This window comes from Homo sapiens, chromosome 7 (genome assembly GCF_000001405.40).
Source record: "Homo sapiens chromosome 7, GRCh38.p14 Primary Assembly".
Classification (NCBI taxonomy): domain Eukaryota; kingdom Metazoa; phylum Chordata; class Mammalia; order Primates; family Hominidae; genus Homo; species Homo sapiens.
The window spans coordinates 7,075,317-7,098,528 of record NC_000007.14 but is presented as its reverse complement, the minus strand read 5'-3'; the positions used below and the strand labels follow the sequence as shown (position 1 = coordinate 7,098,528).

Genomic DNA, 23,212 nt, shown 5'->3' with positions numbered 1-23,212 from the left:
TTATTATCCTTTTGTCAACAGAACAATCACATTCATTCATCAAATGTGTTGAGTGCTTTTTCTGTGCTAGGTATATCACTAGTTGCTAAGGATACAGAGATTAAATAAGAGACAATCTTATATCTGCCAGAATCCATAACCTAGATGTGGAAAAGGATGCATAAATTGAAATCTTTTAAATAAAATGTGGCAAAAAACTATGCCAGATCAAAGTTCCATGGATATAGTGTTAACTTTAACGATATTAAAGTTCATTGATTTCATTTTTCTTCTTCCATTTTCTATACTCTGGACTTGTGTTTTTTGCATATGATGTAAACTCATACTCTATGGGTTTGCCTTGTTTTTGTCATTTGGGAGAGGCACAGAGTGAGCTATAGGAAAGCTATGAAGGGGCTTGAAACTCACACCGTTATGATCAATTAGTGCAGTTTCAAAAAGCCCGGTCTTGAACATGCTTAGCTGGCTTGTCTTCTTAGCTCTTATGTAATCTTTAAGTCACTTAACTTCCTGAAGAGGAATTGAGTTTTCTTGTTGACCTGTAAAAATAGCAAAAATTATGACTTAATTGCAGAAAACTCCAGACTCTGACATTTGAAAGACTTATTTTTCCTACACGTATAAATCAAGGTTACCTGCTCTGAATTTTGTAGCCTTAGTATTCTAATAGGGTTCTTGTACAATTTTTGCTAAATAAAGCATTCAGACTCCATGACTGTTCAAAGCCATCTCTGATGGTAGTTGTACACCTTTGCCAAATATTAACCCATAAATACGGTCTCATTTTGTTTAACAAGAGAGAATAATGCATCTCCCTAAGTTTTGAACTCATTAATTCCCCAGGCATTCTAGCTAAAAAGCATACTTATTTTTTTCTTTGATAAGTCACATGCCTGTGTCTGTCAGTTCAATAATTTATATAGAACAGGGAGTTTTAAGCATGGTTATTTCACTGTTGATGATCATCAATAAATTCATCACATTGTGGGGGAATTTTCATAAAATTGCTTATATCTTGTCTTGATTATTTCTTACTTTGTGACTCAATGATTGGGAACCAGCTGTGAAAGTTGATCACACAAATTGGGTCATTCTTGTTATACTCAACTAAATCAGAGTTGAGGAACCAGGGGGAAAATGCACTCAGGGCATATCATATTGCTCCAAGAATGTAATTCTCTGCAAACCTGGCTGCCGAAACTGCCTGTTTTAACGTGAACCAGTTTTAATATAATAGCTACAGAAACAGCCTGCTGTAACTCTACAACTAGTTTCAGCCACCACCATCGTTCACCAACCAGAGCTTGCCAGCTATCCAAAACCTTACTAGTGCCAATGAAATTACTTTCAAAATAATATGTAACATTTGTCCTTTTTATAAAAGCCTCCAACCTTCTCTTTTTTCTTTGGACATACTAAAGGCCAGCCAGTCTGTGGGTATGTGCTGAATCCAATCTTTGCTTCCCAAATAAAATGTTTTAAATTTAGAGATTAGTCTTTATATTTTATCTGACTTCAACACAGCTATGGGCTGATCTGTAGAACTCAATATAGAAATCTACTGTCCTGGTCAAGACTGGTAGAAATACTCTCTTTACAAATCATATCTGTGTTAATTTTGAATCTGCAAGTGAGTAAAATAGGAATTTGCTCTCTCATCTCTTGGAAATTTGATCCAAATCTATAGACATTGTGGTCGGAGAACAGTGAATGCATGAAGAGAATGGTCCCATAAAGTTGAGATCGAGGAGCCATTTTTTGCCGTGAGCTTTCTAACGAGTAAGAAAAACTTGTCTTTAGAGAGAGACTGAAGAGTAGAGCAGACAGTACAGAGGTGAGGAGAGGAGAGGCTGTGTGACTCTGGAGAAATGAACGGGGAAAACCTCCTTGAACCTCACTCTAGTTTTCCAAGTCTTGTGAAGCCAGACTGGGCTTTTGGCTCTGTGCAATTCCTCTGTATCTTCTCAATAAACCCTTTGTATTCGTGTTTACTCAATGGGGATTCTATTCCATTCGCTAAAATAAGCCTGAAATTAAACCTGTTGTTTCATTGCATCTGCTTCATTCATATCTCTTATATTCGTTGCAGTTTTTTTTTCCAGACACCATTCTCCTATGGCCTTTTCCTATGGTTTCTCTCTCCTTTCCTTGGACAAAGTAGTTCCAGTTGCAGTTTTGACATAATAGAGGGACAGAAGGCCTTCCAGTCTATTCTGGAGGCATCTGGCACTGCTAGCTCACCTGGGGCCAGGCAGGGCTGCGGCCAGCCCATGATGTGCCTTTGTGTGTACTTTTAAAAGGTACCCCTTCCTCTAGGTGGACTAAGGCCCACACAGAGCATAGGGCTTTCAGGCAGAGCACAGGCTGAATTCAGCCACTCTTCTTCCTTGACTGGGCACCCTTGACAGGTATAATCTTCACAATCTTATGTGGTGGCCGAGTCATGGACCCATACATATCCTCCAGGCAGTTGAGAAAGAAAAAAAAATCCACAAATTAGAGAAAGTGACCCCAGCAGAGTCAATGTAGTCGCAAATGTCAGGCTAACAGGAAACAGCAAAAGCAATATACGTCCTCCTTCTTCTCTAAGTGCTGTGGCTGGTGGCCTTAAAAATATAGATTTTCCTTCTTTTCCAATAAACAAAAATTAAGGCCAGGTGCAGTGGCTCACACCTGTAATCCCAGCACTTTGGGAGATCAAGGTGGGTGGATCACAAGGTCAGGAGTTCGAGACCAGCCTGGCCAAAATGGTGAAACCCCGTCTCTACTAAAATACAAAAATTAGCTGGACATGGTGGTGTGCGCCTATAATCCCAGCTACTCAGGAGGCTGAGGCAGGAGAATTGCTTGAACCCAGGAGGTGGAGGTTGCAGTGAGCTGAGATCACGCCACTGCACTCCAGCCTGGGTGACAGAGTGAGACTCTGTCTCAAAAAAAAAAAAAAAAAAAGAAAAAGTAAAATACAAAAAGGAAGAAGAAAAGAATTACCTGCAGCTCCATCACCTAGGAACAATTTAAATACAGCTGTTATATGTAACTCTTTATTGCCTATCAAAAAAAGCTGCAAATTCCTTAGTGTGGGAGAGATACTCATTATAATCTGATCCCCATTCTGCTCTCCCACATCAGTCTCTCTCCAGTCACTCTCTCTTTGTAGACTCTTCAGTGCTGTTTTGTTTCAAAGCGAGCCTTTCATTTTTCAGCTCCTTTTTCTCACTCAAGTTTACATTTTATGCCTGTGTACATTTTTGCTGTCTGCCTGTTTATATTCAGAAGTTTTATAACACCTGTTGTAGTTTTAGGAGATTGTAATTAATAATTTCCTGTTTCCTCATTTGAGTTAAAAATCAATGTCAGATATATGTAGAGATCAGGCATACAGAAAGCGGAATATTACCTGAATTGGAAGAGATCTCGAACTTCAGGCCGTGTATGCTAGGCAGGACTCGCTCTCCAGGTCTAGGGGAAGTCCACTCCAGAAGGAGTTGAGCTATAGTGTTGATACATTTATGCAGAATCACTGCTTTACATCCACTGAGAAAGAGAGGGGAATCTTCTTACTGTTTGCAGGCTTTAAAAAAAAATGAGCATCACGTGTTAGTCTACCTTGCATTGCTATAAAGGAATGCCTGAGGCTGGGTAATTTATAAAGAAAAGAGGTTTATTTGGCTCATAGTTCTGTGTAAGAAGCATGATAACAGCATCTGCTTCGGGAGGGCCTCAGGAAGCTTCCATTCATAGTGGAAGACAAAGGGGAAGTGGACATATCACATGGCAGGAGAGAGGTAGTAAGAGAGGGAGGAGGAGGTCCCAGTCTCCTTTAAATAACCTAGCTCTCGTGTGAACTGCCAGAATGAGAGCTCACTCATTACCATTGGGATGGCACCAAGCCATTGATGAAAGATTTGCCCCCGTGACCCAAACACCTCTCACTAGGCTCATCTGCAACATTGGAGGTCACATTTGAACATGAGATTTGGAGGAGACACACACCCAAATTATATCACATCAGTAGGTGGCAATGAGGTCTGACTCAAGGACATGTGTAAACAAAGCTGGGACTTTCCTCAATATTTGTGGAGAGAAAAGCTAGAATGTGGGGGCATCTTGCTAATTTTTCAGGTAGAATCTCAGAGTCGTTGTAATTAGGGTGTTAAAGGAAATGTGGTAAGCAGAAGAGAGATGGTCTATGAGAGAAACTTACTATTATATAAACATTCATACTTAAACATATGTTAAAATTATGACAAGATATAAAACATAAACCAGCACTATATAAACAGATTGTTCATAAAAACAACTCTAGGAATGTGTTTGATTCTTTTACTGTATATTTTTGAGGCATTTTTGTTTTGATATATTACAAATAAATTATAGAGAATAATATAAATGACTCCCATATACTTATTACACAGCTTGATTGAAGCTCCTGTGTGAAATTTTGAAAATATAGTTTAAATATAAAATGCAGCTTCAAAAAAATTCCCAAACACATCAACAATTCATGTTCCTCCAAATACACTTTGGGGATCGTGAGCATTGGGTTATGTGGCCAGCAGCCTCTGCGAGGACTCCCAGTGATGCCTGCTGCCTGGCATTTACACCTTTGCATAACCTCCCCACCTTCAGTGTGGGCTGAGGCTTTTGAAAGTGAAGTCTTATTGGAACACAGCTACACCCATTTGTTTACATGTTGCCCACTGCTACAATGGCAAAGTTGAGTTGTTTCAACAGAGACATACATGGCCAGCAGAGCCTAATATATTTACTCTCTGGCCCTTTGCAGAAAAGGTTTTGCTGACCTTTCTAACTCATTATTCCTAATGGCTAGCCATGGCTTCCCAGGAGCTCATTAAGCTATTAAAACGCCAGTGAATCTGTATATTCTACAAGCTTAACTGCCGTGTGAATGAATATGGCTCAAATATAAATTTTCAAATATACGTTGTCAAAAACAAAATACAAATTAATTTCAAAGCATTAGAGGATTTATGGTAGCTTTTACTCTTTATGTATTTTTTTCAGCTAGGGGATAAAACAAAATAACAATTTATATAATTTATATCACATGGAGTCCTGTGAAATGTTTTTGCATTATGTGCTTCACTTTTTTTTCTTTTAATGATTGTAAACGATTGATCTAGTTAGACTCTATGGGCCAAGATTACCTTAATGAAACATAGATATCTTAGTCAATTTAAATATTTGAGATTAGTTATACCATGTATGTGGTCATTGATTCCCAGGGCCAAATTCTATTTTACACTAAATATGATGGGTGAAAAATAATAGCTTGAGACCATTAAGATGCAACACTAATAATAATAATTTCCTGAACACTTAGCTTGTGCCAGACACTGTCCTAAGTGTTTTTCATGAATTTACTCCTTTAATCATCGTAACATCATGTGGAGTTATCAGGACATAAAGCCACATGTTAGATTCAGGTTTAGAAACTTATTAATGTTTTAATTTTACAATTTAAAATATTATAGGCCGGGCACAGTGGCCCACACCTGTAATCCCAGCACTTTGGGAGGCTGAGGTGGGCAGATCACTTGAGCCCAGGAGTTCCAGACCAGCCTGGGCAACATGATGAGACCCTGTCTCTACAAAAAATAAAAAATTAGCCAGGTGTGGTGTTGTGCACCTGTAGTCCTAGCTACTCAGGAGGCTGAGGCAGGAGGATCCCTTGAGCCTGGGAAGTCAAGGCTGCAGTGAGCAGTAATACTGTCATTGCACTCCAGCCTGGGTGACAGAGTGAGACCGTGTCTCTAAAAAATAATAATTTTGTTTAAAAATTAAAAACAATTTGTCTTATTAGCTTATATAAAAGGGACCACATTAATCTTAGTCGTTATCTCAAAAAAAAACAAAATTGTTCTCTCTTGTGATGGCTTTTTGGAGAAAAAAGAAAGAAGAGAAAAAGAAAAAATCACACCTTAACTGGCATACATTTTATTAATATGATTTAGCAAAGTTCGACAACAGAAGAGTCCTCATTTTTTTTATAGTGAAAAGAAGGAAATCACACAAGAGGAAAACTGCCATGACTTATACAGAGGAGTTACAGAGTTAAATTTATTCATAACATATTAGGTTTGTTTGGTGGTGGTTGTTGTTGTTTTTGAGACAGGGTCTCACTCTGTCACCCATGCTGGAGTGCAATGGCGCAATCTCAGCTCACTGCAGCCTCGACTTCTCAGCTCACACAATCTTCCCACTTCAGCCTCCCAAGTAGCTGGGACCACAGGTGCACACCACCATACCTGGCTAATTTTCGTATTTTTTGTATAGATAGGGTTCTGCCATGTAGCCCAGGCTGGTCTGGAACTCCCAGGCTCAGATGATCTACCTACCTCAGCCTCTCAAAGGGCTTAGATTACAGGCATGAGCCACCATGCCTGGCCAGTTTTGTCTTTACTTAATCAAGTTTTAGTACCATTTCCATTACATCACCTACTCAAAATAAGATATTTACATCAACTGTTTATCAATAAAGTATCTGTAGTTTCTACGTCACTCTTTTGCCTTCAAGTTTCCTTAGCTGATTCCTTTTTAACCAAGAATGGACAAAAAACAAACAAACAAAAAACCCCAGAAATATAATTTTTTAGCTCCTCTTTTTTTTTTCTGTAAGAAAAGGAAGGTGTGTTTTAAAATTCCATGATAGTTACTGATATTTTCTTAATTTTTCCAGAAGTGAGAAGCTGAGGCAAGAGGAGGCCAAGTAACTTGTATGAAGTTGTATGATCACCAAGAAGCAGAAATCAGAGTAGGCTCTTGACCTATGCTGCCTCTTATCATGTACAGGAAGATTTTATTCTGAACCCTTAAGGATATAGCTAAGAGATTTTTTAATGTTACCATCGAGACTTCAATGTCAGGTTTGGGGAGGAAATCAAGAAGAGATATTTCATAATAAATGGTACGACTGAAATAAAATTGCAGTTGCATCCTGCAGTAAAATTAGAGTATACGAATTATTTTCCATTCTGGTTTTGGCTGCTTATCCTTTAGTCATTCTTTCCAGGGCCATTCTGTGTAGGTTAGGCTTCCTCAGCGAAAGCAGAGGGTCGTGGTGGGGAAAACATAGGCTCTATATTCAGATAGACTTGGGGGTAGGTGGGAGTCCTGGATCCACACTTAATACTTCTGTATCATTTACAAGTGATTCATTTGGCATCTGTTTCTTTCATTTGTAATGTGAAGAGATACCTATTTCTGAAAGTTGTTTGAAATTTAAATGGGATTGTGGTCCTGACTGTTAATAAATACGTATTTCCCTTCGTTTAGTGCTGTGCTTCAAAGTTACCTATGCTTATTAAGTACACTCATGCTTGTGTGTACGTTATGTTGTACGAGTCTGTCATAAGGAGTATTTTTTCTTTCTCGACTAAAGGAGTCTTTTGAGAACTACTTGCTTAGGGCATAGAACTTGAGGGCTGGAAGTATCAGCTTGAATCATATGAAATAGCTGATTTTTGACGATTTTTGAACCAAACAAATCCCATTTTCATCTGGGCCAATATTATACCTTAGGAAAACACAAAAGAGGGTAGCTATATGGTCAAATGTCGTACTACTAGCTAATTATAAAACTGCACATAAAACTTGGTGGTCTTGGTTAATGGCTAATATATATATATAGATTTTATTTAAGACTGGTCTTATTGCCAATCAAGTACCAATAAGGTGTTGCATTGAATATTTGCAAACCTGCTTAGTGCTTGGCTCCTCTGCTGGGTGTCAGCTATAAAAAGGTGAAGAAGAGTTTGGAGCTGTTTGTGAGCCACAGATATGAGCACAGCCACAATATTCCAAGGCCCAGATGTCAGCTCTATTGGATGTTCTAAGTGCTGTAGGTGCAACCAGGAAGGAGTGATTAGTTTCCCTAGGAACAAATGGGAAGGACTGGTTCATTCTATTAATACTTTACATGTGATGAGTCTTGCTCTAGCTAAGCCCTCTTATCATGTATCTCATTCAGCAAATACTCGTGGAGCACCATCTGTATGACAAACATTGTGGAATGTTGGTAGTAGGATAATAAAAATGAACATTTATAGAATACTTAGACTATGCCAGGTACCATTCTATGGACTTCACAGATATTAATTAATTGAATTTCCACAATAACCCTAAGAAAGTAATATCATATTGTCATCATATCATTTTTATACATGAGAAACTGTTAAGTAACATGGCCAAAATTATATAGCTGGTAAGTAGGGAAGGCAGCATGTAAGCCAGGAAGGCTGCCTCTATAGCATGTGCTCATAACTGTGCTATGTGACCTATTTACTTAAAAAGGTGAATAATGTCATTCTCAAAGTATATAGAGCTAAGGAGAGAGGTATGATGAAAGGGAGATAATAATCATTATGATGAATCTTTTCATTAAAAAGTTGAAGTGAAGACACCTCTCTTTTCATAAAACATTAAAGTAACTTCTCAAAAACCTGACCTGGAGTGTGGACCTTTCAAGAGACAGCCTGGGGAGTCAGAGAGCCAGGTCCTTGTCCTTCCAGGGAACTTTAAAGCATGAAGATGCTTAAACTCATCAAAAAGTTAAATGTAGAGTTCCCACATGACCCAGAAATTATTTTCCTAGGTATGTAGCCAAGAGAAACAAAAATATGCATTCACACAAAACTTACACATAAATGTTCATAGTAGTATTATTCGTAATCATAAAAAATTAGCATGTGCCTATCAATAGATAAATGGATAAACAAAATTAGCATCTACATACAATGAAATATCATTTAGTCTTAAAAACGAATGAGGGGGCTGGCAAGACGGCCAAATAGGAACAGCTGCGATCTGCAGCTCCAAGCGAGATCAATGCAGTTGGCAGGTGATTTCTGCATTTCCAACTGAGGTACCCAGCTCATCTCACTGAGACTGGTTAGACAGTGGGTGCAGCCCATGGAGGGTAAGCAGAAGCAGGGTGGGCCATCACCTCACCTGGGAAGTGCAAGGGGTCCAGGAACTCCCTCCCCTAGCCAAGGGAAGCCATAAGGGACTATGCCACGTGGAACAGTGCATTCAGGCGCAGATACTACACTTTTTCCACTGTCTTCGCAACCTGCAGACCAGGAGATTCCCTCAGGTGCCTGCCTACACCACAAGGGCCCTGGGTTCCAAGCACAAAACTGGGCGGCCCTTTGGGCACACACCAAGGTAGCTGCAGGAGTTTTTTTCATACCCCAGTGGGGCCTGGAACACCAGCGAGACCGAACCATTCACTTCCCTGGAAAAAGGGCTGAAGCCAGGGAGCCAAGTGGTCTAGCTCAGTGGACCCCACCCCCATGGAGCCCAGCAAGCTAAGACCCACTGGCTTGAAATTCTCACTGCCAGCACAGCAGTCTACAGTTGACCTGGGATGCTCCAGCTTGGTGGAGGAAGGGGTGTCTGCCATTACTGAGGCTTGAGTAGGTGATTTTCCTCTCACAGTGTAAACAAAACTGCTGGGAAGTTCAAACTGGGTGGAGCCCACTGCAGCTCAGCAAAGCTGCTGTAGTCAGAATACCTCTCTAGATTCCTCCTTTCTGGGCAGGGCTCCTGAAAGAAAGGCAGCAGCCCCAGTCAAAGGCTTATAGATAAAACTCCCATCTCCCTGGAACAGAGCACCTGGGGAAGGTGCAGCTGTGGGCGCAGCTTCAGCAGACTTAAACATTCCTGCCTGCTGGCTCTGAAGAGAACAGCGTATCCCCCAGCAAAGTGCTCAAACTCTGCTGAGGGACAGAATGCCTCCTCAAGTAGGTCTCCGACCCCCATGCCTCCCAACTGGGAGACATCTCCCTGCAGGAGTCGACAGACACCTCATACAAGAGAGCTCCAGCTGACATCTGGCGGGTGCCCCTCTGGGATGAAGCTTCCAGAGGAAGGAACAGGCAGCAATATTTGCTGTTCTGCAGCCTCCACTGATGATACCCAGGCAAACTGTGTCTGGAGGGGACCTCCAGCAAACTCTAGCAGACCTGCAGCAGAGGGGCCCGACTATTAGAAGGAAAACTAACAGAAAGGAATAGCATCAACATCAACAAGAACTTGCACACAAAAACCCCATCTGAAGGTCACTAGCATCAAAGACCAACAGTAGATAAATCCATGAAGATGAGGAAAAACCAGGGTAAAAAGCTGAATATTCCAAAAACCAGAATGCCTCTTCTTCTCTAAAGGATCACAACTCCTTGCCAGCAAGGGAAGTAAACTGGATGGAGAATGAGTTTGACGAATTGACAGAAGGAGACTTCAGAAGGTGGGTAATAAGAAACTCCTCTGAGCTAAAGGGGCATGTTCTAACCCAATGCAAGGAAGCTAAGAACCTTGAAAAAATGTTAGAAGAATTGCTAACTAGAATAACCAGTTTGGAGAAGAATATAAATGACCTGATGGAGCTGAAAAACACAGCATGAGAACTTCGTGAAGCATAAACAAGTATGAATAGCTGAATCAATCAAACAGAAGAAAGGTATCAGAGATTGAAGATCAACTTAATGAAATAAAGCATGAAGACAAAATTAGAAAGAAAAAAAATGAAAAGGAATGAATGAAGCATCCAAGAAATATGGGACTATGTGAAAAGACCAAACCTACATTTGATTGGTGTACCTGAAAGTGATGGGGAGAATGGAACCAAGTTGGAAAACACTCTTCAGGATATTATCCAGGAGAACTTCCCCAACCTAGCAAGACAGGCCAACGTTCAAGTTCAGGAAATACAGAGGATACCACAAAGATACTCCTTGAGAAGAGCAACCCCAAGACACATAATCCTCAGATTCATCAAGGTTGAAGTGAAGGAAAAAATGTTAAGGGCAGCCAGAGAGAAAGGTTGGGTTACCCACAAAGGGAAGCCCATCAGACTAACAGCAGATCTCTCTGCAGAAACCCTACAAGCCAGAAGAGAGTGGGGGCCAATATTCGACATTCTTAAAGAAAACAATTTTCAACCCAGAACTGCATATCCAGCCAAACTAAGCTTCATAAGTGAAGGAGAAATGAAATACTTTACAAACAAGCAAATGCTGAGAGATTTTATCACCACAAGGCCTGCCTTACAAGAGCTCCTGAAGGAAACAGTAAACATGGAAAGGAAAAACCGGTACCAGCCACTGCAAAAACATACCAAATTGTAAGGACCACTGACACTATGAAGAAACTGCATCAACTAATGGGCAGTATAACCAGCTAGCATCATAATGACAGGATCAAATTCACACATAACAGTGTTAACCTTAAATGTAAATGGACTAAATGCCCCAATTAAAAGACACAGACTGGAAAATTGGATAACGAGTCAAGACTCATCAGTGTGCTGTATTCAGGAGACCCATCTCACATGCAAGGACACACATGGGCTGAAAATAAAGGGATGGAGGAATATTTACCAAGCAAATGGAAGGGAAAAAGGCAGGGATTGCCATCCTAGTCTCTGATAAAACAGACTTTAAACCAACAAAGATCAAAAAAGATAAAGAAGGGCATTACATAATGGTAAAGGGATCAATGCAACAAGAAGAGCTAACTATACTAAATATATATGCACCCAATACAGGAGCACCCAGATTCACAAAGCAAGTTCTCTACAAAACTCTCCACCCCAAATCAACAGAATATACATTCTTCTCAGTACCACATTGCACTTATGCTGAAATTGACCACATAATTGGAAGTAAAAAATGCCTCAGCAAGTACAAAATCATGGAAATCGTAACAGTCTCTCAGACCACAGTGCAATCAAATTAGAACTCAGGATTAAGAAACTCACTCAAAACCACACAATTACATGGAAACTGAACAATCTGCTCCTGAATGACTACTGGATAAATAACGAAATTAAGGTGGAAATAAATAAGTTCTTTGATACCAATAAGAACAAAGACACAACGTACCAGAATCTCTGGGACACAGGTAAAGCAGTGTTTTGAGGGAAATTTATAGCACCAAAAGCCCATAGGAGAAAGTGAGAAAGATCTAAAATCGACACCCTAGCATAACAATTAAAAGAACAAATTTTGTTCTTTTGCAAAGAGCAAACAAATTCAAAAGCTAGCAGAAGACCAAAAATAACTAAGATCAGAGCAGCACTGAAGAAGATAGAGACATGAAAAATCCTTAAAAAATCAGTGAATCCAGGAGCTGATTTTTTGAAAAGATTAACAAAATAGACCACTAGCCAGACTAATAAAGAAGAAAAGAGAGAAGAATCAAATAGACACAATAAAAATAATAAAGGGGATCTCACCACTGATCCCACAGAAATACAAACTACCATCAGAGAATACTATAAACACCTTTATGCAAATAAACTAGAAAATCTAGAGGAAATGGATAAATTACTGGACATATACACCCTCTCCAGACTAAACCATGAAGAAGTCAAATCTCTGAATAGACCAATAACAAGTTATGAAATTGAGGCAGTAACTAATAGCCTACCAACAAAAAAAGCCCAGGACCAGACAGATTCACAGCCAAACTCTACCAGAGATAAAAAGAGGAGCCAGTACCATTCCTTCTGAAACTATTCCAAACAATAGAAAAAGAGGGACTCCTCCCTGATTCATTTTATGAGGCCAGCATGATCCTGATACCACAACCTGGCAGAGACACAACAAAAAAAGAGAATTTCAGGCCAATATCCCTGAAGAACATTGATGTGAAAATCCTCAATTAAATACTGGCAAACTGAATCCAGCAGCACATCAAAAAACTTACCCACCACGATCAAGTTGGCTTCATTACTAGGATGCAAGGCTAGTTCAACATACACAAATCAATAAATATAATTCAACACATAAACAGAACCAACAACAAAAACCACATGATTATCTCAATAGATGCAGAAAAGGTCTTCGATAAAATTCAACACACCTTCATGCTAAAAACTCTCAGTAAACTAGGTATTGATGGAATGTATCTCAAAATAATAAGAGCTATTTATGACAAACCCACAGCCAATATCATACTGAAAGGGCAAAACCTGGAAGCATTCCCTTTGAAAACCGGCACAAGACAAGGTTGTCTCACCACTCCTGTTGAACATACTGTTGGAAGTTCTGGCCAGGGCAATCAGGCAAGAGAAAGAAATAAAGCGTATTCAAATAGGAAGAGAGGAAGTCAAACTGTCTCTGTTTGCAGATTTGCAGATAACAAGATAGTATATTTAGAAAACCCGATCGTCTCAGCCCCAAGTCTCCTTAAGCTGATAAGCAACTTCAGCAAACTCAAGATATAAAAATCAGTGTGCAAAAATCACAAGCATTCCTATACACCAATAACAGACAAACAGCCAAATCATGAGTGAACTCCAGTTCACAATTGCTACAGAGAATAAAATAACAAGAAATCCAACTTACAAGGGATGTGAAGGACGTCTTCAAGGAGAACTACAAACCACTGCTCAAGGAAATAAGAGAGGACACAAACAAATGGAAAAACATTCCATGCTCATGGATAGGAAGAATCATTTTTGTGAAAATGGTCATACTGCCCAAAGTAATTTGTAGATTCAATGCTATCCTCATCAAGCTATCATTGACTTTCTTCACAGAATTGGAAAAAACTACTTTAAAGTTCATATTGCAACCAAAAAAGAGCCCATATAGCCGAGACAATCCTAAGGAAAAAAAAACAAAGCTGGAGGCATCATGCTACCTGACTTCAAACTATGCTATAAGACTACAGAACCCAAACAGCATGGTACTGGTACCAAAACAGATATATAGACCAATGGAACAGAAGTGAGGCCTTAGAAATAATGCCACTTATCTACAACCATCAGATCTCTGACAAACCTGACAAAAACAAGAAATGGGGAAAGGATTCCCTATTTAATAAATGGTGCTGGGAAAACTGGCTAGCCATATGCAGAAAACTGAAACTGGACCCCATCCTTACACCTTATACAAAAGTTAGCTGAAGATGGATTAAAGACTTAAATGTAAGACCTAAAACCATAAAGACCCTAGAAGAAAACCTAGGCATTACCATTCAGGCCATAGGCATGGGCAAAGACTTCATGTCTAAAACACCAAAAGCAATGGCAACAAAAGCCAAAATTGACAAATGAGATTTAATTAAACTAAAGAGCTTCTGCACAGCAAAAAAACTATTATCAGAATGAATAGGCAACCTACAGAATGGGAGAAAAATTTTGCAACCTATCCATCTGACAAATGGCTAATATCCAGAATCTACAGGAACTTAAACAAATTTACAAGAAAAAAAAAACCCTATCCAAAAGTGGGTGAAAAATACGAACAGACACTTCTCAAAAGAAGACATTTATGTGGCCAAAAAACATACGAAAAAATGCTCATCATCAGTGATCATTAGAGAAATGCAAATTAAAACCACAATGAAATACCATCACACACCAGTTAGAGTGGTGACCATTAAAAAGTCAGGAAACAACAGATGCTGGAGAGGATATGGAGAAATAGGAATGCTTTTACAGTGTTGGTGGGAGTGTAAATTAGTTCAACCATTGTGGAAGACAGTGTGGCAATTTCTCAAGGATCTAGAAACAGAAATACCATTTGACCCAGCAATCCCATTACTGGGCATATACCCAAAGGAGTGTAAATCATTCTAGTATAAAGACACATGTACACGTGTGTTTATTGCAGCACTGTTCACAATAGCAAAGACTTGGAACCAACCCAAATACCCATCAATGATGGACTGGATAAAGAAAATGTGGCACATGTACACCATGGAATACTATGCAGCCATAAAAAAGGATGAGTTCATGTCCTTTGCAGGGATATGGATGAAGCCAGAAACCATCATTCTCAGCAAACTAACACAGGAACAGAAAACCAAACACCGCATGTTCTCACTTATAAGTGGGAGTTGAGCAATGAGAACACATGGACACAGGGAGGGGAACATCACACCCCGGGGCCTGTCTGGGGGTAGGGGGGTAGGGGAGGGATAGCATTAGGAGAAATATCTAATGTAGATGACAGGTTGATGGGTGCAGCAAACCACCATGGCACGTGTATACCTATGTAACAAACCTGCACATTCTGCACATGTATCCCAGAACTTAAAGTATATTTTTAAAAAAAAGGAATGAAATACTGACATATGCTACAACATGGTTGAAACTTCAAAATATTATGTCAAGTGAAAGAAACCAATCACAAAAGGTTACATATTGTATTGTTCTATCTATATGAAGTGTCCAGAATAGACCAATTCCAAGATACAGAAAGTAGGTTAAAATGTCCGGAAATTGAGTCACTCTAAAGAGACATAAAGGAGATTGCCTGGGACTGTGGGTCAGGTGTGAGACTGGAGAATGAGGAGTGACTCTTAAAGTGTATTGGTTTCTTTTTTGGAGTGCTGAAAATGTGTTAAAATTTAAAAAAAGCAATGACAGAAATAAACACAGACACATACACACACACACACACACACACGTACATACACACACTACCAGATGCCTGGGCCACACTGCAGAGCTGCAGATTCCTAATATATAGAGATATATTTAAGAATCATTGCCAAGGATGAGAACCAAGATAACATTTAAAATTTTTATTTATAGAGTTTTGATTGGAAGGTCCATTTTTTTACACTAGCCTCACCTAAAAATGATTAAGTATTCATATTTTTATATAATAAATATAGCAACAGTAAGAAATAATTTTAAAATATTTGTAAGTATTTTCATATAAATTTAAATCTCATCCCACCCCAAGCCCTGTGAGGTTAGAATGGTGGGAGACCTCCGTGGGGGAGGAGGGAGGCATGTGACTCTGCTCTTCACCTCTGGAGACGTGGGCCCAGGTGCTAAGACCTCAGGTGCTGAGTGCCAAATAATTGTATTTTCAGTTCATGGCACATTATCATTATATGTCCATGCGATATCGGGAGGCCTCTCTTGTTTTGTCTATTCCTGTTTATTTACAATGCTCCATACATAACCATTCTCAAATGTTTAACATCTTTTTGTTTGTATTCTTGCATAATGTGTACCATTTTGTGTGCTAAATTTCTAATATGTAGAAATTTATGTAAACGTTTCTAAGTTATGTATCTCATCTTTTATTTATGCCTGGTTTGCTACTTTGGAAGGAATGAGGAGCTATCAGAGCCCTGCAATGAACATTCATTTATTACATTTTTAATGAAATGGCTACTATATGCACCTCTGTAATAAGGAGGAAGGCAGTATGACAATGTGGCAAAGAGCTCTGGCTCTGGGTTCTGAATGCCAGGGTTCGAATTCTCACTCCTCCATTTACTAGCTTCTTGGGCTTGGACAGATTACTTGGGCCTGTTTGCTTTTGATTTAATCACCTGTAAAGTGTGAATACTTTCTCTTTTTTTTTCTTTTTTCCTGAGACGAAGTCTCACTCTGTCGCCAGGCTGGAGTGCAGTGGCGCGATCTTGACTCACTGCAACCTCCACCTCCAGGTTCAAGCAATTCTCCTGCCTCAGCCTCCTGAGTAGCTGGGACTACAGGCATGCACCACCATGCCCAGCTAATTTTTGTATTTTAATAGAGATGGGGTTTCACCATGTTGGCCAGGCTGGTCTCAAACTCCTGACCTCAGGTGATCTGCCCGCCTCGGCCTCTCAAAGTGCTGAGATTACAGGCATAAGCCACTGCACCCAGCCAAGTGTGAATTCTTTAGCACACATCTCAGAGGCGGTTATAAGGATTAAATATCCAGGGGGGAGAGGATGATATTACTCCCAATATCGCAGGGGGTGTAAATACCTTTTTCTATCTGTCCTGATCTCCTTGCTCATAGGCTGTCACATGGAATCTTCTGGGGAGCTGTTCTTCATATTTTCCAGCCCCAATACCCTTTTTACAAAATTGGGTAGCTGTTAATACATTGATACTTGGGCACAGAGTTGGCATTCAATAAGTAGCTGTTAAGTAAATGAATCAAAAGAAGTGCAAGATACAAGATACATGGTCCCTTCTGTCAAAGAGTTTATAAATCAAGTATGAATGATAATACCTGAAACTACTTTAAAAAATCTATGTAAAGGGCCGGGTGCTATGGCTCATGCCTGTAATCCCAGCAGTTTGGGAGGTAGAGGCAGGTGGATCACCTGAGGTCAGGAGTTCAGGCATGTTGAAACCCCATCTCTACTAAAAATACAAAAAGTAACTGGGTGTGGTGGTGCACTCCTGTAATCCCAGCTACTCAGGAAGCTGAGGCAGGGGAATCACTTGAACCCGGAAGGCAAAGTTTGCAGTGAGCTGAGCTCATGCCACTGCACTCCAACCTGGACGGCAGAGTGAAGAAACTCTGTCACAAAAAAACAAAAAACAAAACAAATCTATGTAAACACCATGATATGTGACATGTCAGGGTAAGAGGAACAACTAATAAATTTTGTAGACATTCAGTAAATGGAGAGAAAGGTTTTTGGAGATGAGGAGCTTGAGCTAGACCTTGTATGTGTGCTATTAGAAGCTTTCTGGGCTGGACACATATAAAAACTGCCCTTTGATGCTAATAGTATTAAAATTCTGTCTCCTCAGAAGCAGACTGCCTATTGCTTTCGCTTTTAAAGAGATTTAGATCCAAGCATTCCATTATGCAAGCCATAGAAAGACCGTTTTATGTGAAGATGCACTTTGATTGCACTTTCCTCTATCTACATTTTATTGTAGTTAGTTGTTTAGAGCTCTCTCTGTGTAGAGTGTGGGATCCTTGAGGTCCTTAAGGGAAGGGACCTTGCTTGCCCTCTTTATCCCCTGCATACTTTGCGTAAAGGAGGCACTCCACAAATGTTTACTGAATAAATGCTACACTCCTAATGGGTAAGAATGTGTCATATTATTCTTTGTTTTCTTATGTGCACTGAAACGAATTGTTTCTTGAGATTGGTTCTTAGAATATTTATTCAGTTTTCACTGATTCTTTTGCTACAGGTTAGCTAACCATGTAGCAGATGCTTGAGTTTCACCTTTCTCCAGTCCAGCAGAATTATATTTTGATGACCTCCATTTTGATGCTTGTAGACCAGCTCTAATCCAAAGATTGATCTTTAGGTAACAGATGGAGAGTGATAAGGATAACTTCTGTGAAGACAAACCCATGCACACATCCTGTTGTCCGAATAATGTTTAAATGAATCCTTCTGCTCCCAAGCCATCAACTTGCCCCTTAACACACATCTTTCTAGAGCCCAAATTTGAGCTCCTTGTAGAAGATCTTTGCCCTCTTCACTCTCCAGGCCTTCCTAATTAACGTCTTCTCAGAGTTTACCTTCTCTCTGTCTTAATCATTAGTTAAAAGAAAAAGTGGCTGGTGTAGCATCTGGGGATACATTGCCACACCCATTTCCTTCTCTATGATCAGGATTTCCAATTTCCAAGCCTGATGGGCTCTCCCAGCTGGAACAGGATCTACAGGTCTTTGATCTGGAAACTAAGACTAGAGAAGTCTTAAGAGATGACTTCTCAGGTGAGGAAGGCAGAATCAATCAGATGGAATTAGTAGGGAAGTAAAGTTCAATTGTTGAGCCAAGTTGTAGCTGCTTTGGCACTCAGAATGAAGAGTTCTGTGTGTGTCCCAGCATGGAGAGTTATTTTCTTTTTCCTTCAGTTAGGTTGACCCTTTCCATTTGTTTAGGACCTGTGCACATGTTGTACTGGACCGCTAATCAAGTTGCTTATCTAAAATTCTTTCAAACTCTTTCCCTATTATCTCCTTAACTGGTGTCTTCTTACTTTGCTAAAGATGTCCGCTGTTTTACCTCACTGCTCCTGTTCATGCCCTTACTTCTGCTGTTGAGATTTTGAGCCTGTTTTTCAGCATAAATAAACTTTTCTTGTCCTTGTAGATATTACATTGTTCAGTTTTCTCATCTGAGTTTTCTTTTCCTAAGCACAGGGTACAGATTACATTTGTATCTTCTATTTATATATTGTATCAGATGGAGAGACCAGAGAACAAGCTGTTGATTCCTAAGGAGAAAATTTCAGAAGAAGTACATTCATGCAAAGTGATAGTAGGAAGACTCAAACACAATATTACCTAAGTTCCTGAGACTAGAGAAGTGTATAAGTCTGAGGACAGATTAGAAAGGCTTCAGGAAATTCTAAGGAAATTCCTGTACCTGGAGAGTTTAGGCAAATAACAATCAGCAAAGAAGCCTTCACCAGTGAGAAGAACAATGAATGTAATAAACCTGAAAAAAGCTTCAGTCTGGACTCTACTATTGATGCAGATCAGAAAGTTCTTAGAATACAGAACACTGATGATAATGATAAGAACGACATGAGCTTCAGCCAGAATTCAGCCTCTGGTAAACATGAACACATAAATCTAACACAGGATTTTCAGAGTAGTATATGTAAGGAAAGCTTAATGGATCTCTCCCTCCTTAATAAATGGGACAGCATCCCTAACACTGAGGAATCCTATAAATGTGATGTATGTGAGAAAGTTTTCCATCAGAGCTCAGCCCTTACTAGACATCAGAGAATCCATACTAGAGAGAAGCCCTACAAATGTAAAGAATGTGAAAAGCGTTTCAGTCAGAGCTCGAGTCTTAGTCGACATAAAAGAATACACACTAGAGAAAAACCTTACAAATGTGAAGCATCTGATAAATCCTGTAGTCCAAGCTCAGGCATAATTCAACACAAGAAAATTCACACCAGAGCCAAAGCTTACACATGTAGCAGTTGTGAAAGAATCTTCAGTCATAGTGTCCACCTTACTCAACATCAGAAAATTCACAAAGAGATGCCCTGTAAGTGTACTATATCTGGCAGTGACTTCTGCCATCCTTCATATCTGCTTGAACATCAGAGGGTCCACCATGAAGAGAAATCCTATGAATATGATGAATATGGGTTGGCCTATATTAAACAAGGAATTCATTTCAGAGAAAAGCCCTATACATGTAATGAATGTAGAAAAGACTTCAGATTGAATTCACATCTTATTCAGCATCAAAAAATTCACACAGGAATGAAACTGCATGAGTGTAATGAATATGGAAAAGCTTTCAGTCAAACCTCATGCCTTATTCACCATCAAATAATGTATAGGAAAGAGAAATCATATAAATGTAACGAGTATGAGGGCAGTTTCAGTCATAGCTCAGACCTTATCCTGCAACAAGATGTCCTCACCAGACAGAAAGTCTTTGATTGTGATGTACGGAAAAAGAACTCCAGTCAGAGAGCACACCTGGTTCAATATCGGAGCATTCATACCAAAGAGAACTCATGAATATAACGAGGGTGAGAAGACATTTAGTCTAGTCAAATTCAGGCTTCATTCAACATCCGGGAGTTCACACCAGGGAGAAATCATGTACGTACTGCATGTGGTAAAGCCTTCAGTCATAGCTCAACCGTTACTCAGCATCAGATAATTCAATTTTCATGCTATTAATAATTTCATACCTTAGTCACATTTGGAGAATTCGTATGGGAATAAAATTCCATTACTGCAATGAATGTGAAAAAGCCATCAGTCAAAGAAACTACCTTGTTTAGTATCAAATTCATGCCATGCAAAAAGATTATGAATGTAATAAATGTGTATGTGCACGAGGAGATTCAGTCACAACCCAACGCTCATTCAACATCAAAGAATCTATATCTAAGAGAAGTTATGTGAGTGTAGTGAATGGCAAATCTTTCAATAGGAGTTTAACTAGTCTTTTTTATATCAGAATATCCATAGTAGACAAGAATTTGATGTAATGCAAATGGAAAACTTGACAGCACATGTCAGGCTTTACCCAACATCAAAATAGTGGAAAGAAAATTGTTGATTATTTATTTATGAAATTGTTAATACATAGTCTCAAACTTTATCATTGCACAAGAATCTAGTGGTGACTTGGTAAATGCAGTGCCATTTTCTCATGGCATTCCTTTATTTAATATGTGTTCTAAGTAGGTACATTTATTTTTACTTTTTTATTATAATAATTTTGATATTAAAAAGAACAGAGATGGGGTCTCACTTTGTTGCCCAGGCTGGTCTCGAACTCCTGGCCTCAAGTGATCTTCTCACCTTGTCCTCCCAAAGTGCTGGAGTTACAGGCATCAGTCACTGTGCTAGGCCTATTTTATTTACAGAACTAATTTAAGCTGTTTTTATTTTAATATGCCCTATAAACATTTTTATTTTTCTTGAAATTGGTTCTTAGTGTTCACAACTTCCATAAGATACTGCGAATGCACCAGTATTAAAACACATCAACATAAGTAGCTCATTTAGCTTTTTCTGCTGTTCTTGGCCCAAGTTCTCTCCAAAACCAACTCTTAGGCCTACTCTTTACTAGGGACCCTATGTTATTGCTTTACAGCCACAACACTTGGATGCCTGTTTATTGATTTCTCCATGCTCTTAAGCACCTTTAGAAGATTTAGAAGATTCCTAGTTTTAAGTGTCTCACCAGCAAGTATTCCATACCTAGTTGATGTTGCTGGTCTGATGTCTTATTTCCTAAAGTGAGGCATCTTTTTTAAAAAAGAATTGGATTTAAAATATATCCAGTCCAATACAAGTATGAATATAAGTAAGTGTTCTCTCTTCTGAGTTTGTAGCAGGCAGCCAAACATTTTCAAACGATGCCCAAGATTTTAGTTGCCTTGTGTGCATCCACAGCCTGCAAAGAGAGATGATAAGGACATCAGGGAGCCAACAAGACTCCTGGTAAGCTCACTACATACATCCAGTGCCTGTTCTGCATGCCTAAGCTTAGAGTTCTTTTATAGACCTCTAAGGCCAGCAAAATGCTCAGGTCTGCTTTTGGTACGGTAAACACAAAGAACATACACAGGCTGGGTGCGGTGGCTCACATCTGTTATCCCAGCACTTTGGGAGGTTGAGGCGGGTGGATCACGAGGTCAGGAGGTGGAGACCATTCTGGCCAACATGGTGAAACCCTGTCTCTGTTAAAAATATAAAAATTAGCCAGGCGTGGTGGCACGTGCCTGTAGTGTCAGCTACTCAGGAGGCTGAGGCAGGAGAATCGCTTGATCCTGGCAGGCGGAGGTTGCAGTGAGCCGAGATCGCCACTGCACTCCAGCTGGCCAAGACTCCATCTCAAAACAAAACAAAACAAAACAAAAAACAAAAACATACAAAAAAAAAATCAGCATCATAAGGGAATGTAGCCTTTCAACAGAGATGATGCTGTTCTTAACGTTAATCTCAGAGACAGTATTTCAAGAGAGTGGCAGGTCTGTTCCTGGTAAAATTTTAACCATTAGGATTGCAGATAAATATTTGAATTCTCCCCCACCCCCACACCAACCAGTCTTCCCTCATCAATCCAGGACAGTATTTGAAGTGTGGGGGCTTTGTGTTAGTTGCTTATCCATTATCACATTTTCGTATTTTAATAGTCTGCATGCCATATAAAAGAACATGGCTTTTTGATTGATAAAAGGGATTATAGATGTCGGCTCAAGTTCAGGGCCACCATCATATACCTAACAAGAGCTCATGCTTCTTTAGGTAATGTCAAAGCATTTTATATTTTTCCATCTTAAGCTTTATAACATTTTGTGAATAAGACAAGTGTTATTTAAAATTCTAGTTGTCAAGCCAGGCTTTCATAGTTCAGATGTTATAATATTTGCTAGGGACCCTCAACAAATATATAAAAATATATTGCTCACTCTATAATCCTCCTTTACAAAAAGTATCACAGAGGGAGTCCACCCACGAGGGGCAACATCATCATCTCCTTTGGATATTACGAATAATGTCACAGAGGTGACATATTGTCACCTCATTATGTGACATAATGTCACATAATGTCCGCCCATGGGGATATTTGTGGCAATATAATTATCTCTCATGAATATTATGAATAATGTCACAAAGGGTGACCACCCACGGTGATATTAGTGGCAATGTCATCATACGCCATGGATATTATGAATAATGTCACTAAGGGTGTACACCCCCTGTGATATTAGGAATAATATAGTCTTCTTTTTTGGATATTATGAATAATAATATCACCAAGGATGTACACCTTTGTGACATTAGAAGGAATATAATCTCCTTCCTTGGATATTATGAATAATAGTATCACCGAGGGTGTACATTCCGTGGGATATTACAAGTAACATCATCTACTCCCTTGGATATTACGAACAATAACATCACAGAGGGTGTAACCATGCAATATTAGGAGTAACATCATCTCCTCCCTCGGATATTACAAATAATAGCATCAC

The 23,212-nt window shown here is 39.4% G+C and overlaps 1 long non-coding RNA gene and 1 pseudogene across 5 annotated transcripts in view, besides 1 other annotated feature; one reads left to right on the top strand and one right to left on the bottom strand.

Annotated features, from left to right (window-relative positions):
- Positions 1–23,212, bottom strand: part of LOC105375138 (uncharacterized) — a 121,035-nt gene that overhangs the window by 12,747 nt on the left and 85,076 nt on the right. For all 4 annotated transcript variants that reach the window (XR_927009.3, XR_001745076.2, XR_001745075.2 and 1 more), the window contains exons 2-3: positions 3,398–3,571; positions 411–539 (exon numbers count right to left, since the gene is read on the bottom strand). This is a non-coding gene — a long non-coding RNA (uncharacterized LOC105375138). The remainder of the gene's footprint in view (positions 1–410; positions 540–3,397; positions 3,572–23,212) is intronic.
- LOC100131257 (zinc finger protein 655 pseudogene) lies at positions 1,743–22,759 on the top strand (annotated as a pseudogene). Its single transcript, NR_034022.1, has one exon. The product of NR_034022.1 is annotated as a zinc finger protein 655 pseudogene (transcript).
- Positions 6,148–6,316: a silencer, noted in NCBI's record as "fragment chr7:7131844-7132012 (GRCh37/hg19 assembly coordinates)". NCBI's record gives its function as "represses an EF-1alpha promoter that drives an FKBP-Casp9 reporter gene in an ReSE screen in HepG2 liver carcinoma cells {active_cell/tissue: HepG2}" and the evidence as "EXISTENCE:reporter gene assay evidence [ECO:0000049][PMID:32094911]".